Source organism: Homo sapiens, chromosome 20 (genome assembly GCF_000001405.40).
Source record: "Homo sapiens chromosome 20, GRCh38.p14 Primary Assembly".
In the NCBI taxonomy this organism is placed as follows: Eukaryota; Metazoa; Chordata; class Mammalia; order Primates; family Hominidae; genus Homo; species Homo sapiens.
In genome coordinates, this window is record NC_000020.11 from 25,748,270 (window position 1) to 25,767,984 (window position 19,715).

Below are 19,715 nucleotides of genomic sequence, written 5' to 3' on the forward strand. Positions count from 1 at the left end.
GGGAGGTATTGTTTAATGGGCACAGTTTTGGTTTTGCAGAATGAAAAATATAACATTTCCTATGAATGTGGATGATGGTTGCAAAACAATGTAAATGTACTTAATTCTTTTGAACTGCACACTTAAAAATTGTTAAAATGGTTAATTTTGTATATATTTTACCACAATATAAAAATACTTAAAAAATAGACTATAGCTATATGCAACAGCATGAATGAATATCACAAATATAATGTCTCATAAAGGAAAGTTGATGTAAAATATACATACTATATAATTTCATTCATATTAAATCCAAAAATCAAACAAAACTGAGGTTCTGGCTTCTACTCATTGTGGAGTAGCTTGGTGAACTAACACTCTTAAAAATAACAAACATGAAACCAGGATAAAAATACTATATATTATTATAGAAATCCATCTACATATAATATAAACACGACATATGTGTGAATAAGAAATAATGAGGATTTCACCTGTGCCCAGTGTAGGGGAGATAGGTAATAAAGTTTCAATTCAGCCCAGTAACACCTTAAAAAAAAAAAAAACTCTTCAAATAAACACAACCAAATCCAGAGTCTCTATAAATATCCTTTTTAGTTTGTAGTACACAATTTTGCAATTAATGAGACCTGTGAAGAAACATGAAAATGCAATCCATACAGAAGATAAAATGCTGGCAGTAGAAGCTACCCCAATATATCCAAGATATTGTAATCAGAAGACAGGGATTTAAAGGCAGCTATTATATATGCATTCATGGGGATAAAGGAAAATAGTCGCATTACAAATGAACAGATGTGAAACTTCAGCAGAGAAATGGAAATTATGTGTATAAAAAGGAACCACATAGAAAGATAAGGAGATGAAAAAATATTTTGAGCTTATCCACAGATTAGAAACAGAAGACACAGCAATAGAAATGATTCAATCTGAAGAAAAGAATTTAAAGAAAATAGACAGAGCCTTAGAGACCTGTGGGATAATTGAGTCTGAGAAAGAGGAGAGAGACAGACAAATCAAATGAGTTTCAAAATAAATTACCAACTGGTAAATGAATACTTTCAAAAAATTTTCCAAGACCTTAATTTTTATATACAAAAGGTCAACAACCCCCCCAAAATAAATACAAATAAATACAAATAAAATCATACCAAGGCCACATTGTGACTGTGGAAACTGGCAAGGCAGGGCTTTCAACTGACTTGTTATTAATGCTCCAGAAAGATGTCCCAGGGAGAGTCTGCTCTGGTGCATCCACCCTGCACGGAGCTGAGGCTGCGCCTACACTAGTTTCAGAAGTGTGTAGTTGTGGAGTACTTAGAGTTAATCTGAGAAAGTAAATGGAAAAATGGATTCAGATAATTATCACTGTTAAGTTCCACCAGCAAAGTATTGAAAGTGGTTATAAAGGGATATTTAAAAAGCAAAATTAAAAGATTTTCTAAGGGAGCCCTATTCACAGCAGAAATGCAGACACTGAACATGACCTCACCAAACAAACTTCCCTTATGTGTTGGGAGGGACCAAGGGGCCTTCTGGTCTTGCTGGTCTGTGTTAATTATGGCAGAGAAGTCCATACTAGTGAAACGGGAAAAGTTCACTTGTCCCTTTTGCAGGGCGTGCGATGGGGGTGTAACTTGCTTCTTCAGTGCCCTGCTGCTCAGACCTCTAGGGGAGCATACAGAGGGGCAGGCTATGGGGCTCTGACCCCATGGCAGTGATCTAGGGGTGAATGTTTACAGCTGAAGCCCCAGTGGACGTGTGTTACAGCTCTTAGTTTAGCTGTCCGTAGGCGACTTGTGTTAGTCATCTCAATTAGACCCCTGCTTTATTGGAAGGACAGAGGGCTTTATGTATCCTGGGGTTCTTGCCTTGGTGTACTGGAAGAATTGGATCACATGTGGGCTTGGAGAATAAGCGCGAGGTTTTATTGAGTGGAAGTAGCTCTGAACAGATGGGGGAGGCAGAAAGGAGATGGTTTTCCCCTGGAATTGGGCGCCCGGGGGGCCTGGCTCTCTGGCCAAACTTCACCTCCTTCTGCCGGTGGATAGCCTGCTGGTCTGCTGGAGTCTATCCTGTGCTCTTCCACAGAGTACTCCCCTCTATGCCCAGAGGACGTCCAGAGGACCTGTGTGTCTGCCTGTTAGGGCCTCAGGGTTTTTATAGGCACAAGATGGGGGCGTGGCAGGCCACGGTGGTCTTGGGAAATGCAACATTTGGGCAAGAAAACAAAAATGCCTGTCCTCACCTAGGTCCGTGGGGGTGGAGCCCTAGCCAGGGACCATGCCCTCCTCTAACCCATACTTCCCTTCCCCCTTCCGTATCATTTGAAGGGACCACGCTCTTCCCTTCCAGCAGTTCCCTTCCTTATCACTAGGACCCCAAGACCTGGGAACCAGCCTGGGTGGGGGTCAGTGGTGGATGTGGCCCCAAAAGCAGCTTAGGGGGTCCCTTCCTTGTGGCTGCTTCTTGACTGGATGGAGCAGTGTTCAGGCCTTTCCCCTGTGACGTTTTCTCCTAATAACGTCACAGGCCTTTCTCATGTGACTTTATTACAGCGGCTGGGGCGTCCCTGTGAGAGGCCTGACCCAGGTGTGGGGGGCGCAGCCAGACCGGGGTGCTCCTGGGGTGCAGAGGATTCGTGGCAGCACGGAGAGTCCGAGGGAAAGGTGACTTTGGAAAGGCAAGTGCCAGGTTACTAGGACCGTGTATATTCACTTCTGGCAGTGAAATGACGGTTTCAGACACTATGAGGGAGCTTCCCGAGTAGGATACAAAGAAAGCCTGCAGCTACCAGGTCCACGGGCTGATAGCCCCACCTCTACGGAGAAGGCTACACGGCGCATGCTCGAAGGGCGTGACAAGGGGCGGGGCGAGAAGGAAGGGGCGGGGCTGAGGGGAGGGGTGGGGCAGAAGAAAGGGGCCGTGTGCGCCCACATACTGGAGGATCAACATTATCATGGCAACCCTGAGGAGGCTGTGAGAGTCTCTGGGGTCCTTGCCGGCCTGCAGAAAATCAAGCTTTGAGCGGGAAGCTTCGAGGAGACACAGTGTCACAATTACAAGGTGAGACCAGATGCCCTGGCCCCGCTGTCTCCTCGCAGGCAGGAGAGGTTTGGGAACACCCACGCTTCCCTCAGCAAGGCAGAACTGCACTGGACGCATGGAAGTGTGATTTGGAAAGCGGGACCTTCGTACGGAATGTTCGGAGTTGTAGTATCTGTTCTACTCCCAGCCTGTTGGTTCTAGGGCTGCGGACTATAATCCCAGCATGCACTGGGTTTGGGTAAGAGACTGAAGCATCCAGGTGAAGAACTGGCATTGCTTCTACCTGTGGAGAGAGGACACCTGTAGGCTGCACGATTGACTGTGAATTTAGGAGGAGGATTAAAAGTTACCTGGCAAACAGTAGGCACCCTACAAATACTGATTTTTCCCCCTCCTTTAAAAAGTTTGATCTCTTGTTAGATGGTGTTGAGTAATACAGAAATGGCAGGTATGCATGTGATTGGTGCTTAAATGCACACAGTTCCCCATACCACAAGAGGAAACACACCACAGCCTGATCATTAGGACCAACAGCAAAATAAGTTTGCCTTTAATCTATTCACTGCATATCTAAACTTTGATCAAGCCCATGGACACACCTGAAGACATGGGGTTTCCTTCTTCTGGGCACAATCATCCTTTGATCAGTGTCTGCTCTGTAAAACAGGATTCCCCCTAACTCTACCAACCAGCAGATGGGAAGTAGTAATCCACCCGTGGACACTTCCTGCTTGCAGCCCACTGCTCTCTCAGGTTACCATTTTCAGATGTTGCAAGGATGGGGTACTCCCTTGCCTCTGAAAGGGAATGGAGGGTGGGGGGTGTGGTTCAGCACTCAGAGCTTCACTTCAATGTGGCAGCCACTGACCATTGGGACCACTGAGCCCCTGGAATGTGGCTGGTCTGTATTGAGATGTGCTGGAAGTTTAAAATACAGAGTTTTATGGTTTTATTCTTTGTGTGTGTGTGTGTGTGTGTGTGTGTGTATGTATGTGTTTAAAAATGGCTTTTATTTGTATGTTATTGCACATTCCTAATACAGTGATTTCTGGAAATCACAGTATTTTGTAAACATAAGATTTATACTTTAACCATACCCAAAGTCTATTTTTATTTCTTGACAGAATTGCTTTTCTTAGTACACATGGCTCTGCTGTGGTTTAAAACTGACTTTTTCATTTAAGGCAATCTGGACTCTATTAGTGAGAAATGCATTGTTTTTCTTGGTTTTATTCTCTAAAGGTTCCAGCATTTGGAGGCAAACATGAAGCTCCATCCTCTCCAATTCTGGGGCAACCGTGTGGAGATGATCAAAATGCTTCACCTTCAAAACTTTCAAAGGAAGAGTTAATACAGAGTATGGATCGTGTAGATCGAGAAATTGCAAAAGTAGAACAGCAGATCCTTAAACTGAAAAAGAAACAAGTAAAAGTCTTTGCCTAATATATTCTAAGAATGTATTTTTTTCTCCCTACCGAAGATATTTTTGAGTTTTCCATATTTTGAAACATTACATAAAAGGAATCATTCCTTATATATTCTGACTTGCTGTTTTTGCTACCATTGTGGTTTTCTTACATTCATTCATTTTCCTTGCTGCACTGTCCGATTATATGATTGTAGAGAGTGAAATTTGTTTGTCCATTCTATTTTTTATTTTTTTTTATAATCCATACAATGGTGCTGGTTTTTGGTTCACATGCAGAGATTTTCCATGGCATGTGCCCAGGAATGGCAGTGCTTGGCCCAAGATTATGCACAGTGAACTATTTAATAGATGATACCAAATTTGCTAAGAAGTAACACCTTTTTACATTCCCACTGGCAGCTTATGTGGGTACTGGTTTGTGCACATTCTTGCCTTTACTTGATATCATTTTTTTCAGTTGAATATGAAATAGTCTTCTGTGGTTTGGAAGAAGGCTGAGCTTATTTTCATTTGTTTGTGGGTTATTTGCGTTCCTTATGTGCATTGTTCAAGTCTTTTGTCTATAGTCTCCTATTTCAACATTGAAACTTTTAAGATTTCCTGAAGTCCCTTGTCAGATATGTGTATAGAAGATTTGCCTAGTTTGAGGCCTGTCACTTCACTTTTAGCCTAGTATCCACTCTTAAGTGTACACTAAGTGCATTTTTTTTTCTGGAATTGGAGTCTCACTGTGTCACCCAGGCTGGAGTGCAGTGGTGTGACCTTGGCTCACTGCAACCTCTGCCTCCCAGGTTCAAGCGATTCTCCTGCAACAGCCTCCCGAGTAGCTGGGACTGCAGGCGCTTTAAGTGCTTTTAATGTATTCATACAGTTGTACAGCTATCACCACTCTCTAACTCTAGAACATGTTTATCATTTCAAAAAGAAACTCCATACTTACTAGCAGTTACTCCCCATTTCCCCCTTTCCCCAGCCCCTGGCAACCACTAATCTATTCTCTGTCTCTATGGACTAGCATATGCCAAATATCAGAAAAAGCAGAATCATATGTGACCTTTTGTGTTTGGCTTCATTTATTTAGCATGTTGTCCTGATTCATCCATGTTGTATCTTGTGTCAGCACTTCATTGCTTTATATGCCTGAATCCCATTGCATGAGTATACTATGTTTTGTTTATCCATTCATTAGTTGATGGATATTTGAGTTATGTTCATTTTTTGACTATGATTATTAACGTACTGTGATGAGATTCATGTAATCGTTTTTGTGCGGACGTATTTTTACAATTTTCTTTATATATCTAGGAGTGGGCCTATGGTAAATCTATGTTTAAATTTTTGAAAAACTTCAAAACTGTTTTCCAAAGTCTCTGTACCATTTTATATTATTACCAGCAGTGTATGGAGGTTCCATTTTTTCCTACCTCCTTGCCAACATCTGTTATTTTTGTTTTTTAAAAAAATATACCCATCCTTGTAGATGTGAAGTTGTATCTAGTTGTAGTTTTCACTTGCATATCCTTAATGACTAATGATGTTGAGCATCCTTTCGTGTGCTGATTGGCCATTTGTATATCTTTTTAGAGAAATGTTCATTTAGACTGTTTGCTCATTTAATTGGGTTGTCTTTTTGTTATTCTAAGAATTCTTTATATATTCTGGACATTAGTTCCTCATCAGATGTATGACTTAATAGATATTTTCTCTCATTCTGTGGGTTCTTTTCACTTTCCTGATGGTATCCTTTGATGTACAAAAGTTTTGAATTTTGTTAAAGTCCAGTTTGTTTTTTCCTTTTGTCACTCTTGCATTTGGTGTTGTATCTAAGACCCATTGACTAATTCACGGTCACAGATTTATACCTATGTTTTCTTCTACAAATTTTATAGTTTTACCCCTTATATTTGGGTCTTTGATCCTGATAGTGTTTTTTTGGTGAACAGAATTTGTTTAGGTTTTATATGAAAACCCACTGGGGCTATTAAGGTAGTCTTACTGTATTATCTTTAGAAGTTTTATGGTTTTGCTTCTCATCTTATTCTTAATCCACTGGAAACTACATGTTATATAGTCAGTGTTCATTTATATTTACTCACATATTTGTCTTCTTACGTACTCACCATTTCTTCTCGCAACTCAAGTCTTCCATCTAGGGGAACACCCTTCTACTGAAGAACATCTCTTAGAATTTCCTTTAGTGAAGGTCTTTTAGTTAGCAAATTCAGTATTTGTTTGGTTTTTATGACTTAAATATTGTCTTATATTTGGCCTGTTTATTAAAACATATATTAATTTCGTATGTGATTATTTTTTCTTAGTACATTGTCTTCTTGCTTCCATTTTTAAGACATTAGCTCTTGGTCTAAATCCATATTCTTTCATGGATAATGTGAATTTTCTCTCTGCTTGTTTTCAATATATTCTTTTCTTCAGGGTTCCGTTATTTTTATGATGATACATTTAGGTGATTTTTTTTCCCTTTTAAATTGAGCTTCCTGAATATGAAGGGTGGAGTTTTTCATCACTTTGGGAAAATTCCAAGCCGTTATCTTTTTTACAAAACCTTTCTAACAGTTTATTGTTCTACTTATGAAATCCTGTTAGTTGTAATATCTTATCACTCTTGTCTTCCATTTCTCTTGTTTCTTTCTTATTTTTTACTTCTTTGGGTTTCATTCTGAGCAATTTCTTCAGCCTGTCTTCCAGTTTACATTTTCCTTTTCAATTATATGTAATCTGCTGTCAAATCTGTCTTCAATTTCAACAATTATGTTTTTATTTCTGGAATTTCTGTTTGGCTCTTTCTCAAATCTGCCTGGTCATTTTTTAAAATTTTTTTTGCTTTCATTGAGTTGTATTAAATTTTTAATATATGCCCAAAAATTCTAATTAAGTCTTTATTGGTTTGATTTTGCTGAGTCTGTTTTCTTTTTTTTTTTGTCTTTATTTTCTTTACTTGTACAATGGTAATAATCTAGTAATAACACCAACTAAATCACATGATTGTTTTATGAATTGAGATAATGAATATATTCATTATCTCATAATATGTGGTACATAGTAAATGTACATGCGATCCATTATAATAATTAGAAATAATGAAATATGATGTATGATTATTATGAAATGTACCAGAGCCACAAATTTTATTGAGCAATATAAAAGACAACTAGAGAAAACAAAGAAATATGCCATACCTGGATGGAAACAGTAATAATAATGTTGTGTGTTCATCTTTGACTAAATCATGTCTCATAAAATTTCAATAAAATTCCAATTAAATTTATTTTTAAAACATGGCAAATACATTGTAAAGTTAATGTAAAAGAACAAACAGGGCCAGGCCCAGTGGCTCAACCTATAATCCCAGCACTTTGGGAGGCTGAGGTGGGCATATCACGAGGTCAGGAGATCGAGACCATCCTGGCTAACATGGTGAAACCCCATCTCTACTATAATACAAAAAATTTGCCGGGCGTGGTTGCAGGCGCCTGTAGTCCCAGCTACTCAGGAGTCTGAGGCAGGAGAATGGCGTGAACCCAGGAGAAGGAGCTTGTGGTGAGTGGAGATCATGCGACTGCACTCCAGCTTGGGTGACAGAGCGAGATTCCATCTGAAAAATAAAATAAAATATAAAAAGAAAAATAATTTGTGTCTTGTTTCCTCATTAATGTTGGTTGAAAGCATGTTTGCACGTGTCTTTGATTTGCATTTTATTAACATCGATTGGCGTATTAAAAGTCCCTCTGAGCTTACCTTCTCTAAAAAAATGTAAGAAAAAGAGCCTGTGGGAAGGACTATGAAGCAGAGGGGCTGGTGTGAGCACATGCTGGGCAGGAGGAAAGAGGTAATGACCAGGACCAGGGAAATCCCCAAACTCAGCAAGTCAGGGAGCCAAATGAAAGCCTTTCATCCTGTATTGGCCACCTAACCCCATCGACACAAGTGAACATTCTCTTTTAGAGATACTCATTGTCCTGTTTTTTTCTGTAATCTTGTAAAGGAATCTGATTTCTCCCATTAGCCTTTCACAGGACTAAAATTTCACATTAGAATGCTATTCTTTAGAAAGCATCTTCTAGATTAGGCTGCAAGGAGATTGAGGAAGTTACTGTCAGTCGCTTATACCCCACAGGGACATTAACTCACCAGAGCTTTGGTGGGGGAGTAGAGGAGCTCATTACAAGCAGGCCTGGATGCTGCACAGAGTGTAAAGGGGGCAGAAGGATCCAGGACACCTAGGCCTGGAGATAGCGCTAATGCTGGGAGGTACCGTTATTATCCCCATTTTACAGAGGAGGAAACAGACACAGGTAGGTAATGTGATCAAGACCATGCTGCCGCGCAGTACAGGAGCCAGGATCTAAACCCAGGCAGCCTGCCTTGCCATCAGAGCTCTCACCCATAACCTCTTGCTGCCGTTAAGCAGGATTGCCCTGTGGCCAGGGGCACAGCTTCTGGGTTCACGTTCCAGCTTCTCTACCATTTCCAGCTGTGTGACCTCGGGCAAGTTACTTGTCTGTGCTCAGTGTCCTCTGCATAGTGGGTATAGCAATACCTGCCTCATGGAGTCCCTTAAGTGAGTTAATAGCTGTAACATGCTTAGAATGGTGCCATGTGCATCGTCACCATCCAGTACATATGGGCCATCATGCCTGAATCCCAGATGGACACATATCCTTGAAGGGTCTAAAATCTAGGATCTTGAAATGCCTGACAGTGGGATCCTGAAATCCTCTGGCAGCATTCTAACATATTTTGGCTGCAGAATTTTACCCTGCTTCCCAGGGCTAGAAGGTGTGGGATCAACTGCTTACTCAGTTCAGCCCCAAAGTAGGCAAAGAAGGTTTTGTCACAGGCCTGCCTGGGGCCCAGCCCCTGTAACCACCCCTTGTCCCTCCCTTGCCTGCTCCCTCACCCAGATTCACACATGCACTCCAGGCCTTCTGGGCCCCAAGGGAAGGAGAGAGGGTGGGGAGTGGGTTCACTGGTCCACCAAAGCATGCTGCCTCCAGCCCTGCTGAACTGGTGGGTCCAGGGAATGGGCCTGGAGCTGAAGGGGTCTTGCCCTCCCTTTACCTTTAAGCCTTGATTTGCAGTGATCCAAGAGCTTCATCTCTTCCTGTGAGCCTGTCTGGATGTTTATGCTGTATGGCATGGGCCCATTCTGGCAGGGGTGCACGGGGGTGCACAGGTGCACATGGCTGGCAGCCATGGCAGGTGAGGAGACCTTGGCAGATCAGAAGACCTTCTGCTTCAGCTTCAATATATGGGTCTTCTGGCTCTCAGTACATTCCTCCTGAGCCATGATGGGCCCCAGTTCAATGAAACCTTCTGTGGCAGCATCATGGTGTCCAGGGGTATAATCTGGAGCATGTACCAGCGCTACCCAAAGGTATGTGGTTGTGGGGCTGAGTGGAGCCAGAAGGGCTGGATCTTGTACCTCTCTTCCATGTTTCAGCCCCATCCTTCAATCATCTTCTTGTTCTTTTCATTTTGACTCCCTGTTTTATTGTCTTCTCTTCTGAGCACCCGTCCATTCATTTATCCATTCATCCATCTATTCATCCATCCATTCATCTCAGCATCAATCTGTCAATCCATGCATCCATCCATTTATTTGTCCAACCACCCATCCATCTATCTGTCCATCATTTAGCATAAAGATTGATCAGAAGCCTCCTGGTTCTGGAGCCATAGACCAGACACCATGGGGAGACATGATGAAAAACAACATATGATTTGTGTGCTTGAAACAAAAGTTAATGAGTGCTTACCACCTGCCTGGCAGTCCTGCATTCAGGGCGCAGTTCTCCCCTCATCCTGAGCTTTTTGGTACCTTCTATAGTTTCATTTTGTAGTAGAGAAGGCTGAGCCTCGTAAAGTGGGGTCACACAGCTGCGTAATGGAGTTTGGATTGGAGCTCAGATGTGTGTGACTTAGGCATCACCCTCTGCCTTGAGTCCTCTACTCCAGGGTCCCAGAGCTGCTGAGCATTCTGGGGTTGGTCAGCTCTAACCTGGGTGGCATGCATTGAGCAACTCTCCATATTTTGGAGTCTTAATGTATTCCCAGCCTTAATGATGGCAAGGACCCTGCTTTGGGAGACCTGGGTTCTAGTTCCAGTCCTGTCCCAAACTTCCTGTGTGATTTTTGTCTTTCTGAGTCCAGTATTTGCATCTGCATAATAGGACACAAGCACCAATATTCACAGCTTCATAGGGGTATTACAGAGGTCAGAGAAGAGAAGAGATATATGAATATTTGTAGACTGTAGAGTGTTTTGTTTAGGTGAAGGGCTGTCAGGTCCTGACAACCCTCTGGAATGAACATGTCAGAAGCTGTAAACCTTCAATGCCCAGAGAGGTGGAGTGACTCTTCCAAGGTCACGTAGCTAGTCAGAGACAGACCTAGGGGAAAAAAGGGAGAGAAACATGGATTCTAACTTGGGCTCTGTCTCTAACTGCCTGAGAGACTGCTCAAGCCCCTTCCCTCTCTAGGCCTGTTTCCTTGTTTTTAGAATATGTGAGACAGGATGAGGGGATGGATGGGGAGGATATCTGGGGGCCCTGCTAGAACTCACCTCTAGGGCCCAGACTTGGAAATCCCCAGAATCCCCGTATTGTCCTTTACACCTGGGTGGCTGTGCTCAAGGGCTCAGGGAGGGGGGACTCTTGCAGCCCTGGACTCCCTAGCCCTTACCCTTCTGTGGGCCCACCCTGGGCTATCAGCGTGTTCGGTGCTGGAATGGTCTGAGCTGGTTTATAGTCATTTCTGAGGCAGTTTATGGTAACCTCACCTCTGTCCGTGCCATGTCCTGAGCAGAGGTCCCGGGGAGAAGTGCTGGGGGCCAGAGCCACCCATGTCACCACTAGCCATGGTAGTCCTCTTCCCCATGAGGAGGCTGCACCCTGGGAGATGGCATCGGGTGGAATGGAGCATCTGTCCTGACCTCCCCGTTAAGCAGAGGTGGCTCTGGGACTGTGGGCAGAGATATTGGAGTGGCAGTGGGAAACGAAGTGGAGGAGGAAATATTGCTGGGTACTAATGAGTCACAGTTGATGGACTCATGTCTTCATGTGCTTTGGAGGCACTATGGTGGGGTGCAGATGGCATATGTTTTGGTGACCTACAGGCTTACATTCAAATAGCTGTTACCTCATGTTTCACATCTGTGACCTTGGCAGGGGGAGCTCCTCAACCCCAAACCTTGCACAGCTGAGTGGGAGAAACCAGAGGGGTCTTGTGTTGTCAAGGACCTGGCATCATGCCTGGCACAGAGCACTTGCAAAATCTTCATTCTCAAGATTGGCATTTGTAGCTCTGGGGGATACACACAGAGGTCTCTCTATGTATGGGCAAGGTACCTGTGGATAGATGTGGGTCTGTTTGTGTGTGTGGGAGTGCATGTTTCAGGGACACAGGCTATCAAAACCAGCACAAGGTGACTCCAATAAGGGAAGGGAAGAAAGCGCATGGTAAACCAGGAAGACACTCTAGAGATGAGGCTTCTTGCACTCCACATGGCCTCTTGGTGCCTGTGCCATTGTAGCCTTCAGTACTCATGCTTGTCCTACCCTCCGGGTCCTCCCCTGGATCTCAGTGCCTGACCCATGGAAAGCTTCAGTAAATGGGGAAACACAAATATAAGGGAATATAACTAGCTAATTAGGGTAATGAAGTGAGGAGTAGCCATTTCCAACATGCATTAAGCTGTCCCTGATTTTTAGGGGCTGGAGGTCTAGTGAGAGAGACAATTTGCGGCATGATGGGGAGGAAGTAGGATTCACAGAGAAGGTGAGCTTGGATTTGTAAGGTTAAGTAGAAATTCACCAGGCAGAGAAGATGTAGGAAGACGCTCCAGGCAGAAGAGCAACAGGATCAAAGCCATGTGGTGAAAGAACAAGGCAAGTGGGTCAGCAATGCTACTAGAAGGGGAGGGGAAAAAGTCAAGGTGGAAATGGAGGGGTCTCAGCTCCTCAGTGCCTGGGGTGTTATGCTAAGGGATTTGGATCTTACCCTTTAGTCAAAGGGACAAGGGAGGGACATGACCAGGTTTGCAGTGAGAAAATTATCAGGCTGATATCTGGAAAGAGGAAGGTCTGGAGCAGCGAGACCAATGGGAGGCTTCTCTGCTCAGGTGAGAGACAGTGGTCATCTGGATTAGGCAGAATTTGAAGCCAAGGCTGTGGGAACTGAGAAGACAGTTCCAGTTTACCATATGAGGAGTACCTGCTGTGGCTGGCAGGGCACCAGCACTTCTACCCAGATTATCTCATTAAAATTCTAAAGTAGACCTGGTCAGTTCTGGAAGCCACCTGGGCCTCAGGCATGAGAGAGGAGGAGGAATTGGGGCAAATCTAGTCGGTGGGTGCAGTTGGAGATGCTGAGCCTATTAGCAAAGATGGGACAGGAAAGTGGGGAGCAGGGAAAGGAGTGGCAGGGAGAGTGAGGCCTTTCCCTGCCTGGCTGCAGCCTTTACCCATGAGCCTCCCGTTCCTCATTCCTGCCAGATCTGCTGGACCCAGGACCAGGACCCTGGTTGGTGTTGAAGGTTCTGTCTCCTCTGTGGGCCTCCCTCCCTCTGCTTCTTCTGAGGATTGCTCAATGTTCTGCCTAAACACAAATCTGACTGCATACTCTCCTGCTGATAAATCTCCAAGGATGCCTCTGATTCTGGGCAAAGCCTGAGCTTCTTAGCTTTCTGTTCTGGGGGTCTCCATTGTTTGATATCCCCTCCCCAGCTTCAACTCTGCCTGTTCCTCCCCATCAAAGTACCTGTATTTTAATATGCTACCTCCTCTCCTTTTCCTCCAAGATTTTCATAATTGTGGTTGTGATGATGATGATGATGGTGATGGTGAAAGTGGTGATAATGATAGTGATAGTCATGTTGAGGATGATGGTGAGGATAGTGATAGTGATAATGTTGGTGATGGTGAGGAAAGTGATAGTGAAGGTGGTGGTGATGATAGTGATAGTTATGCTGAGGATGATGATGATGATGGGGAGAATGTTGAAGGTGAGCATGGTGATGGTGATGATAAGGATGGTGATGGTGATGATGAGGTGATAATGATGGTGATGAGGATGGTGATGGTGAAGGTGGTGATCATGATAGTGATAGTTATGCTGAGGATGATGATGATAATGGTGAGAATGGTGAAGGTGAGCATGGTGATGGTGATGGTAAGGATGGTGATGGTGAAAATGGTGGTGGTGATAATGAAGATGATGGTGATGGTGAGGATGGTGATGGTGAAGGTGGTGATAGATACTGATAGTTATGGTGAGGATGCTGCTGCTGATGCTGGTGAGAATGGTGAGGGTGAGACTGATGATAATGAGGATGGTGATGGTGAGTATGGGGATGGTGATGGTGCACCCCTTGATTTGGCAATTCGACATCTAAGAATTGTTCATTTCTTCTAGGATGTTTGTTTTTTGAGTCAAGACTTCCCTATGTTGCCCAGGCTGGCCACGAACTACTGGCCACGAGTGATCCTCCCACTTTGGCCTCCTGAGTAGCTGTGCTTACAGGCATGAACCATGGTGCCTGGCTTTACCCTAGAAATTTATCCTGAGGAAATAATCAGAGAAGTGTGCCAAGTGGTACTTAGAGAAGGGTATTTATTGTTGCATCGATGATAGTAGGTAAGATGTGGGAAGAATGTAAATGTCCAGCAATAAGAGATTGGACTACATACAGCAATAATTGTGCTACAGCTAGGCAAGGGGCTGGCTTCTGGCCATTCAGAACACAGACCCTCCTGATTGAGTCAAATATCCTGTCACTGCTCTCACACACCACACACCTCCCTCCTTTTCAGCACAAATTACAATCGTAATTTTACATTTCTTTGTGAACCTCTTTGATGAATGTCTGTATCCCTCATTAGATGCTAAGCTCCATGGAGGCAAGGAGTATACTATGTTCATTATTGTGTCCTCCATGCCAAGTTACGTTCCTAGAACACAGTACACTCTCAATAATTTGTTGTTAAATGAATGACTGAATCTATATTTCTTAGTATGGAAAGATGTTGGAAATATGCAATTAAGAGGAAGAGCAGATTATAAAACAGTATGCATGCTGTAGTACAGACTGCAAATTCCCTCCTTTCTTGATCTTCTTTAGGGGACCACATGCGCACTCTCAGTCAATAAATTATGATTGATCCAAAGTCAATCATGACAATGCTATTCTCTACAGCTAGGGATGGTCATGAGATCAGGTTCTGGCCAATCTAAACACAGATTTCCAGACCTAAAGAGAAATCCTCTGGGAGTCACCTCTGAAGTTCTTGCTTTTCTAATAAGAATACAGAAGTGACTGCTTTTGCTGGCCTTGTAAACTCATGTAGTGGTTGGAGCTGCAGTAGCCGTCTTACAGCCGTGAGCTAAATTCCAATAGACTCACAAAGATACTGGGCCTAACATTGTTGAACCAGTGAACCATAGCCAGGAACCATAGGTACTCTAACTATGTAAGAAAAATGAACCTGTCTTTGTTTAAGTGACTGAATTTTCAGATTAATGCACTCCCAACAGATACAGAGCATGATCCCATATGTACCTGTATGTGCAAATATGAATAGAAAAATAATTAAAGTGATTATCTCTGTGTGGTAAGATTCTCCTTCATATTTTTTTATTTTATAAAGTTTTCCCAAAGGGCATGTAAATAATAATCAGACAAATATTTCTGTACATTCAGAAAATAAACAATGGTACTAATTTTATTTTTTAAAAATAAACAAAATATTGGGGCCCCAGAAGGGAGTTCACTACCATATGGTAAGTTAATTAGCCACGACCGAGATGAACACTTGTCGGTATCCTGGAGGACAGGTTCTGCAGCAGTGAGAGGTCCCCTCCAGAACAGTATGTGGTTCCAAACTTCTGAGGGAGGCGGGGCAGACCCCAAGGAAGTAGATGAGAACCTGAGTGAGGCTCTGTGGGGAGAGAGGATGTTCCTCAGTCCTCACAGGGACATGTCAGTTTCACTTGAGATTAGGCCCCAGCCTTGGCTGGGAAGCCTGCCAGGCAGGTTCTCAGCAGCATGGGGTGATAACAGGAGGAGGGGAAACCTGGCAAGCTGGGGCAGCTCTGGGGTCTTCAGGTGGGGCTGTCTCAGGCAGCAACTGTGTTGGCTGTAAACACAGATTTCCAGGAAGCAGAGCGTTGCAATCTCTCCCACCACAAACCTGGACCATCAGAGATGTTTCCATAGCAGCATGTATGCCAGTGAGGAATCTGGACATGATCTGTGATCCCCTCTCCTACTTTTCCTTTTCTCTTAGAATGGGACAGAGCAGCCTGGAGCAGCTAGTGTCTTGTAGTGACTCCAGTTTGCTGCTCTCTTCCTTATCTTCTTCCTCCTGCCCTCTGTCTCCTCTGCATCCTTCACCTTCTACATCAGGAAGCTCAAGTCATCGGGCTGAGCTTGGGCTTCTCATCTAAATCACGGAGTGCCAGTCAATGCCTCCCTTCCTCTTCCCAGGGAGCAACTTCAATCTTCCCTGCCTGCAGTGGGGAGTTAGACCCTGCTCCTTATTCCCTGTGGGACCATCCGCAGCCTGTTTCCTCACCCCTGTAATGGGACTGCTGTCCTCCCTGCTCACCTGGCAGTGCTAATTCCAGGCCATGGGCCCTCCTGGGAAAATCACCAGTGTGGGTGACACGATGGGTGTTTGTGTGTGTGGAGGGGTGGGGCTGCCACCTGGCCATTTACAGACCCCTTCCTTCCTCTCTCCCTGTGCTTGTCGCATGTCAGGGATCCCTCTCCTTTGTGCCATGAAACATAAGGCATTTTCAGATCCATCATGTCATGGAGCCTAGCATCTCCTTGGTGAAGTTGGAGTTATTGTCACCATTTTACTGATGAGTAAAATGAGGCTCAGAAAGGGGAAAGTCATTGCCAGGGTTCCGCTGTGTACTTATAGTGGAGCTGGGATTAGGATGCGTGTTCTGGATTCCTGGCGGGGTCCTGGCCCATCTGCAGCTAAGGCCTGTCTTTCTGCTCCCATGAGGTCCCTTTTCCATTCCTTTCCTCCCCATGACAGCCACTGTCACCACCACCCAGGGTCTGCGCTCACTGTCACACCACCCCTCGCTGACCCCTGTGTCTGGGCTGAAACCCACCATGTCCGTCAGATGGATTTTCCTCAATGGTGGTTGGGCTCCAAATCCACTCTCCCTAGACTGACACAAATTGCACTACAGGGGGCCGCAACTGTAGGCGTTTCTGTTCTAGAGAGAGAGAGAGAGATGGTCACATAGAAATGTCAACATCACTTGGTGAAGAGGAGAGTGGAAACACAGGAGAAAGTTCTGGGAGTGACGTCAGGAGGAGGTAGCCCTTGAGTTGGGTCTTGAGGGATGTGTAAGAGCTACCAGGCAAGGAACACTGGGAAGGGCATTCCAAGAGGAAAGAGCAGCATTCTCCAAGGCTGAGACTGGTCTGGTGGCTACAAGATAGAGCTGGGTGACCGGGACCCCTTGAGACAGTGCTCCCTTTTCAGGAGGAAACCTGCAGCTCTAATACTTTGGGCTGTCTCAGAGTCCCCCAGAGATCTTGGGAAATTCCTGGGTCCAGTTCCCAGGGATTCTGGTCCGGGCAGAGGAATCCGCACTTCTCACAGGCAGGGGCTATGACTTCACCCCACAGTTCTGATGCAGTTGGTCCCTGGATCACTCTTGGAGAAATACAAGCAGGACTGAGAGGCTTTGACCCAAGCACTGTGCAGGGGGTGGGATGGGGATAGATGTGGAATGGGCCAGAGGAATAGTGGTTGGAGCTATACCTTCCTGGACCACCCTGTCTAAAATGTGGCTCTCCCATCCCCCTTTCCCACTGATACATTCTATCCTCCTTCACTTTTCCTTTATTTTATTTTTTGTAGATACAGGGTCTCACTATGTTACCCAGACTGGTCTCAAATTCCTGACCTCAACCATCCTCACATCTCGGCCTCCCAAAGCACTAGGATTACAGGCATGAACCACCATGCTCTCATCACCAACTCACATGCTGAATATTTGACTAGTTTATTTATTATCTGTTTCACCCTACTAGCATGAGGGCTACATGAGGAAAGGGACTTTGTCTATGTCATTCACTGCTGTAGCCAAGTGTCTACAATGTGTAAGGACATGGAAGCTGTTTCTGTTTTGACTTGTAATTTTAATTTTGGGAAGCAGAAGATATCTGAGTGGACTCAGTGGCTGACAGGAAAAGGGAGAACAGTCTTGGTGTGCACTAGAGTGACAGGGAGACCTAGACAGAGAGATGTCAGAGGACATTTCCTGGAAGAGGCTGACGGAAAGGTGGGGCAACTGGGGAGGGTCTCTCTGGACATCAATGCCTTTGAAGCTGGCAGGGAGGGAGGAAGTGCATGGGTGGAGAAGAATGCCTGAAGAAGACCTCCTTGGCTTCCATATTCTTCATGAAGTGACAGGTGAGGGGCTTCCTGGAAAGAGAGGGCAGGAGGGGAGCAAATGTAGGCTGGTGATGGTGGGCCTGCAGCAGTGCCCCAGGGTGAAGGGGTGAGTGCATTACTGAGGCTGGACCCTGGTCATGACCCTTGCCTTGGCCTCAAGACTCATTAAAAACCAGCCTCCTCCAGTGAGCTTAGATCATGCCACTGCACTCCAGCCTGGAGACAGAGTGAGACTCCGTCTCAAAAACAAAAACGAAAAAACAGCCTCCAGTCCCAATGTGCCCAGCTGGACCATGCGCTGCTTCCTGGATGTGCCACCATCACAACTGGAACACAAATCCTGAGTCACTGCCTCTAGAAAGCCTGCCTGGATTCAGTGCCCTTCTGACTGGGCTCCTGCAGCACCTGGTCTGACACTACTATGTGACTTGCCTCTGCCTGCCTCTTATCACAGGTGCCTGTGTTTTTACCTGCCTCAGTGAGGGCTGTTGAGGACCCGACCAGGCTGATCCATCTTAGGGGCTACAGCAGGTGCCAGCAATGGCTGGGCTGTGTCAGGGCTGGGCAATAGGCAGACCAGGTTCTCACGCTGGGCACGGGTGCCCTTTGTGGGCTCAACTGGGTGTGAGCACTACTTCTGAGTGGCCAGAAGATTCCTGGGAGAGACCTGGTTATCTTGGGCTGACCCTCGCTCCCCAGTTCCTTCCTTCCTCCCTCCCTTGCTGAAACCCTTTTGCATGTCCTCAAAATCCTGCTCCAGCACCAGCAGCCCTCTGGGTTTCAGCAGCCTCAGGGAACTCTTCCTTTTCTTCCTTGCTGTAAGAGGCCCGATCCCCTGAGGACACTGCTGCCTTGCTGTCCTCTGCTGCAGCCCTTCCCTGGGCCTGAGCAGGATAGGTCCTCCTTGCTTCCCATTGCCTCCCTCTTTCAGCTCATCATCCTGCTCTCCCATAAAAATCCATTCATGCACCACGAAATGATGTTTCCATCAACCCAGACCGCATGTGCAGTGGTGGACCCATGAAACTATAATGGGGCCGAAAGACACCTACTGCCTAGCCCAGTGACATAACAATTGTAACGTTATGGCACAGTTACTTTAAAAATATATTGATTAAAAAAGATTTATAATTCTATAGAAAAAGAAATATATATCTCGTAGTGTAGCCTAAGTGTCCAGTGTTTATAAAATCTACAGTAGTGCACAGTCACGCCCTAGGACTTCAACTTCACTCACCACTCACTGACGCACCCAGAGAAGCTTCCAGCCCTGCACGTTCCATTCATGATAAGTGTCCTAGACCAGTGCACCATGTCTAGGTACCATACTATATTTTTATATAGTGCAATACTATGATTTTACTGTACTTTTCATGATACGTTTAGATGCACAAGTACTGACCATTGTGCTACAACTGCCAACAGTATTCACTGCAGTAACCTGTGCCCAGGTGTGCGGCCTGAGAGCAGTAGGCTGTGCCACAGAGCCTAGGTGTACAGTAGGTACAATATTGAGGTGTGTGTAAGCACACTCTGTGATGTTCACACAAAGAAAAATTACCCAAGGACACGGTGACACACGAAGGGAATCAATATTGAAGCTCTTGCCCTCAGATTGCACCCAGGGCCGCATCCCTATGCATTGAGGACTTGGCTCCCGGTTCATGGGCACTTTCTCCTGCTGAGGTGATGTCAACATGCACATAGAGAGTCCTCCTCATGCTCTGGCTCTTGGTCCCTCCACCCCTAGAGACCTTGTCTCCACCCTCCCTGTGTCACCCACTCCTACCTGT

At 45.1% G+C, this 19,715-nt stretch overlaps 2 long non-coding RNA genes across 2 annotated transcripts in view, besides 1 other annotated feature; one reads left to right on the forward strand and one right to left on the reverse strand.

Moving 5' to 3' along the window:
• Nucleotides 2,579-2,808: an enhancer, noted in NCBI's record as "active region_17675". NCBI's record gives its function as "activates an Ori minimal core promoter by ATAC-STARR-seq in GM12878 lymphoblastoid cells {active_cell/tissue: GM12878}" and the evidence as "EXISTENCE:reporter gene assay evidence [ECO:0000049][PMID:35858748]".
• LOC105372582 (uncharacterized) lies at nt 2,939-7,781 on the forward strand. Its single transcript, NR_135006.1, has 2 exons — nt 2,939-3,069; nt 4,294-7,781. It is a non-coding gene; the product is annotated as an uncharacterized LOC105372582 (long non-coding RNA).
• A 7,401-nt stretch (nt 7,782-15,182) lies between these two features.
• The window catches only part of FAM182B (family with sequence similarity 182 member B), a 37,840-nt gene continuing 33,307 nt past the window's right edge, over nt 15,183-19,715 (reverse strand). The window contains exons 4-5 of the long non-coding RNA NR_027061.3: nt 16,625-16,732; nt 15,183-15,435 (exon numbers count right to left, since the gene is read on the reverse strand). This is a non-coding gene — a long non-coding RNA (family with sequence similarity 182 member B). The remainder of the gene's footprint in view (nt 15,436-16,624; nt 16,733-19,715) is intronic.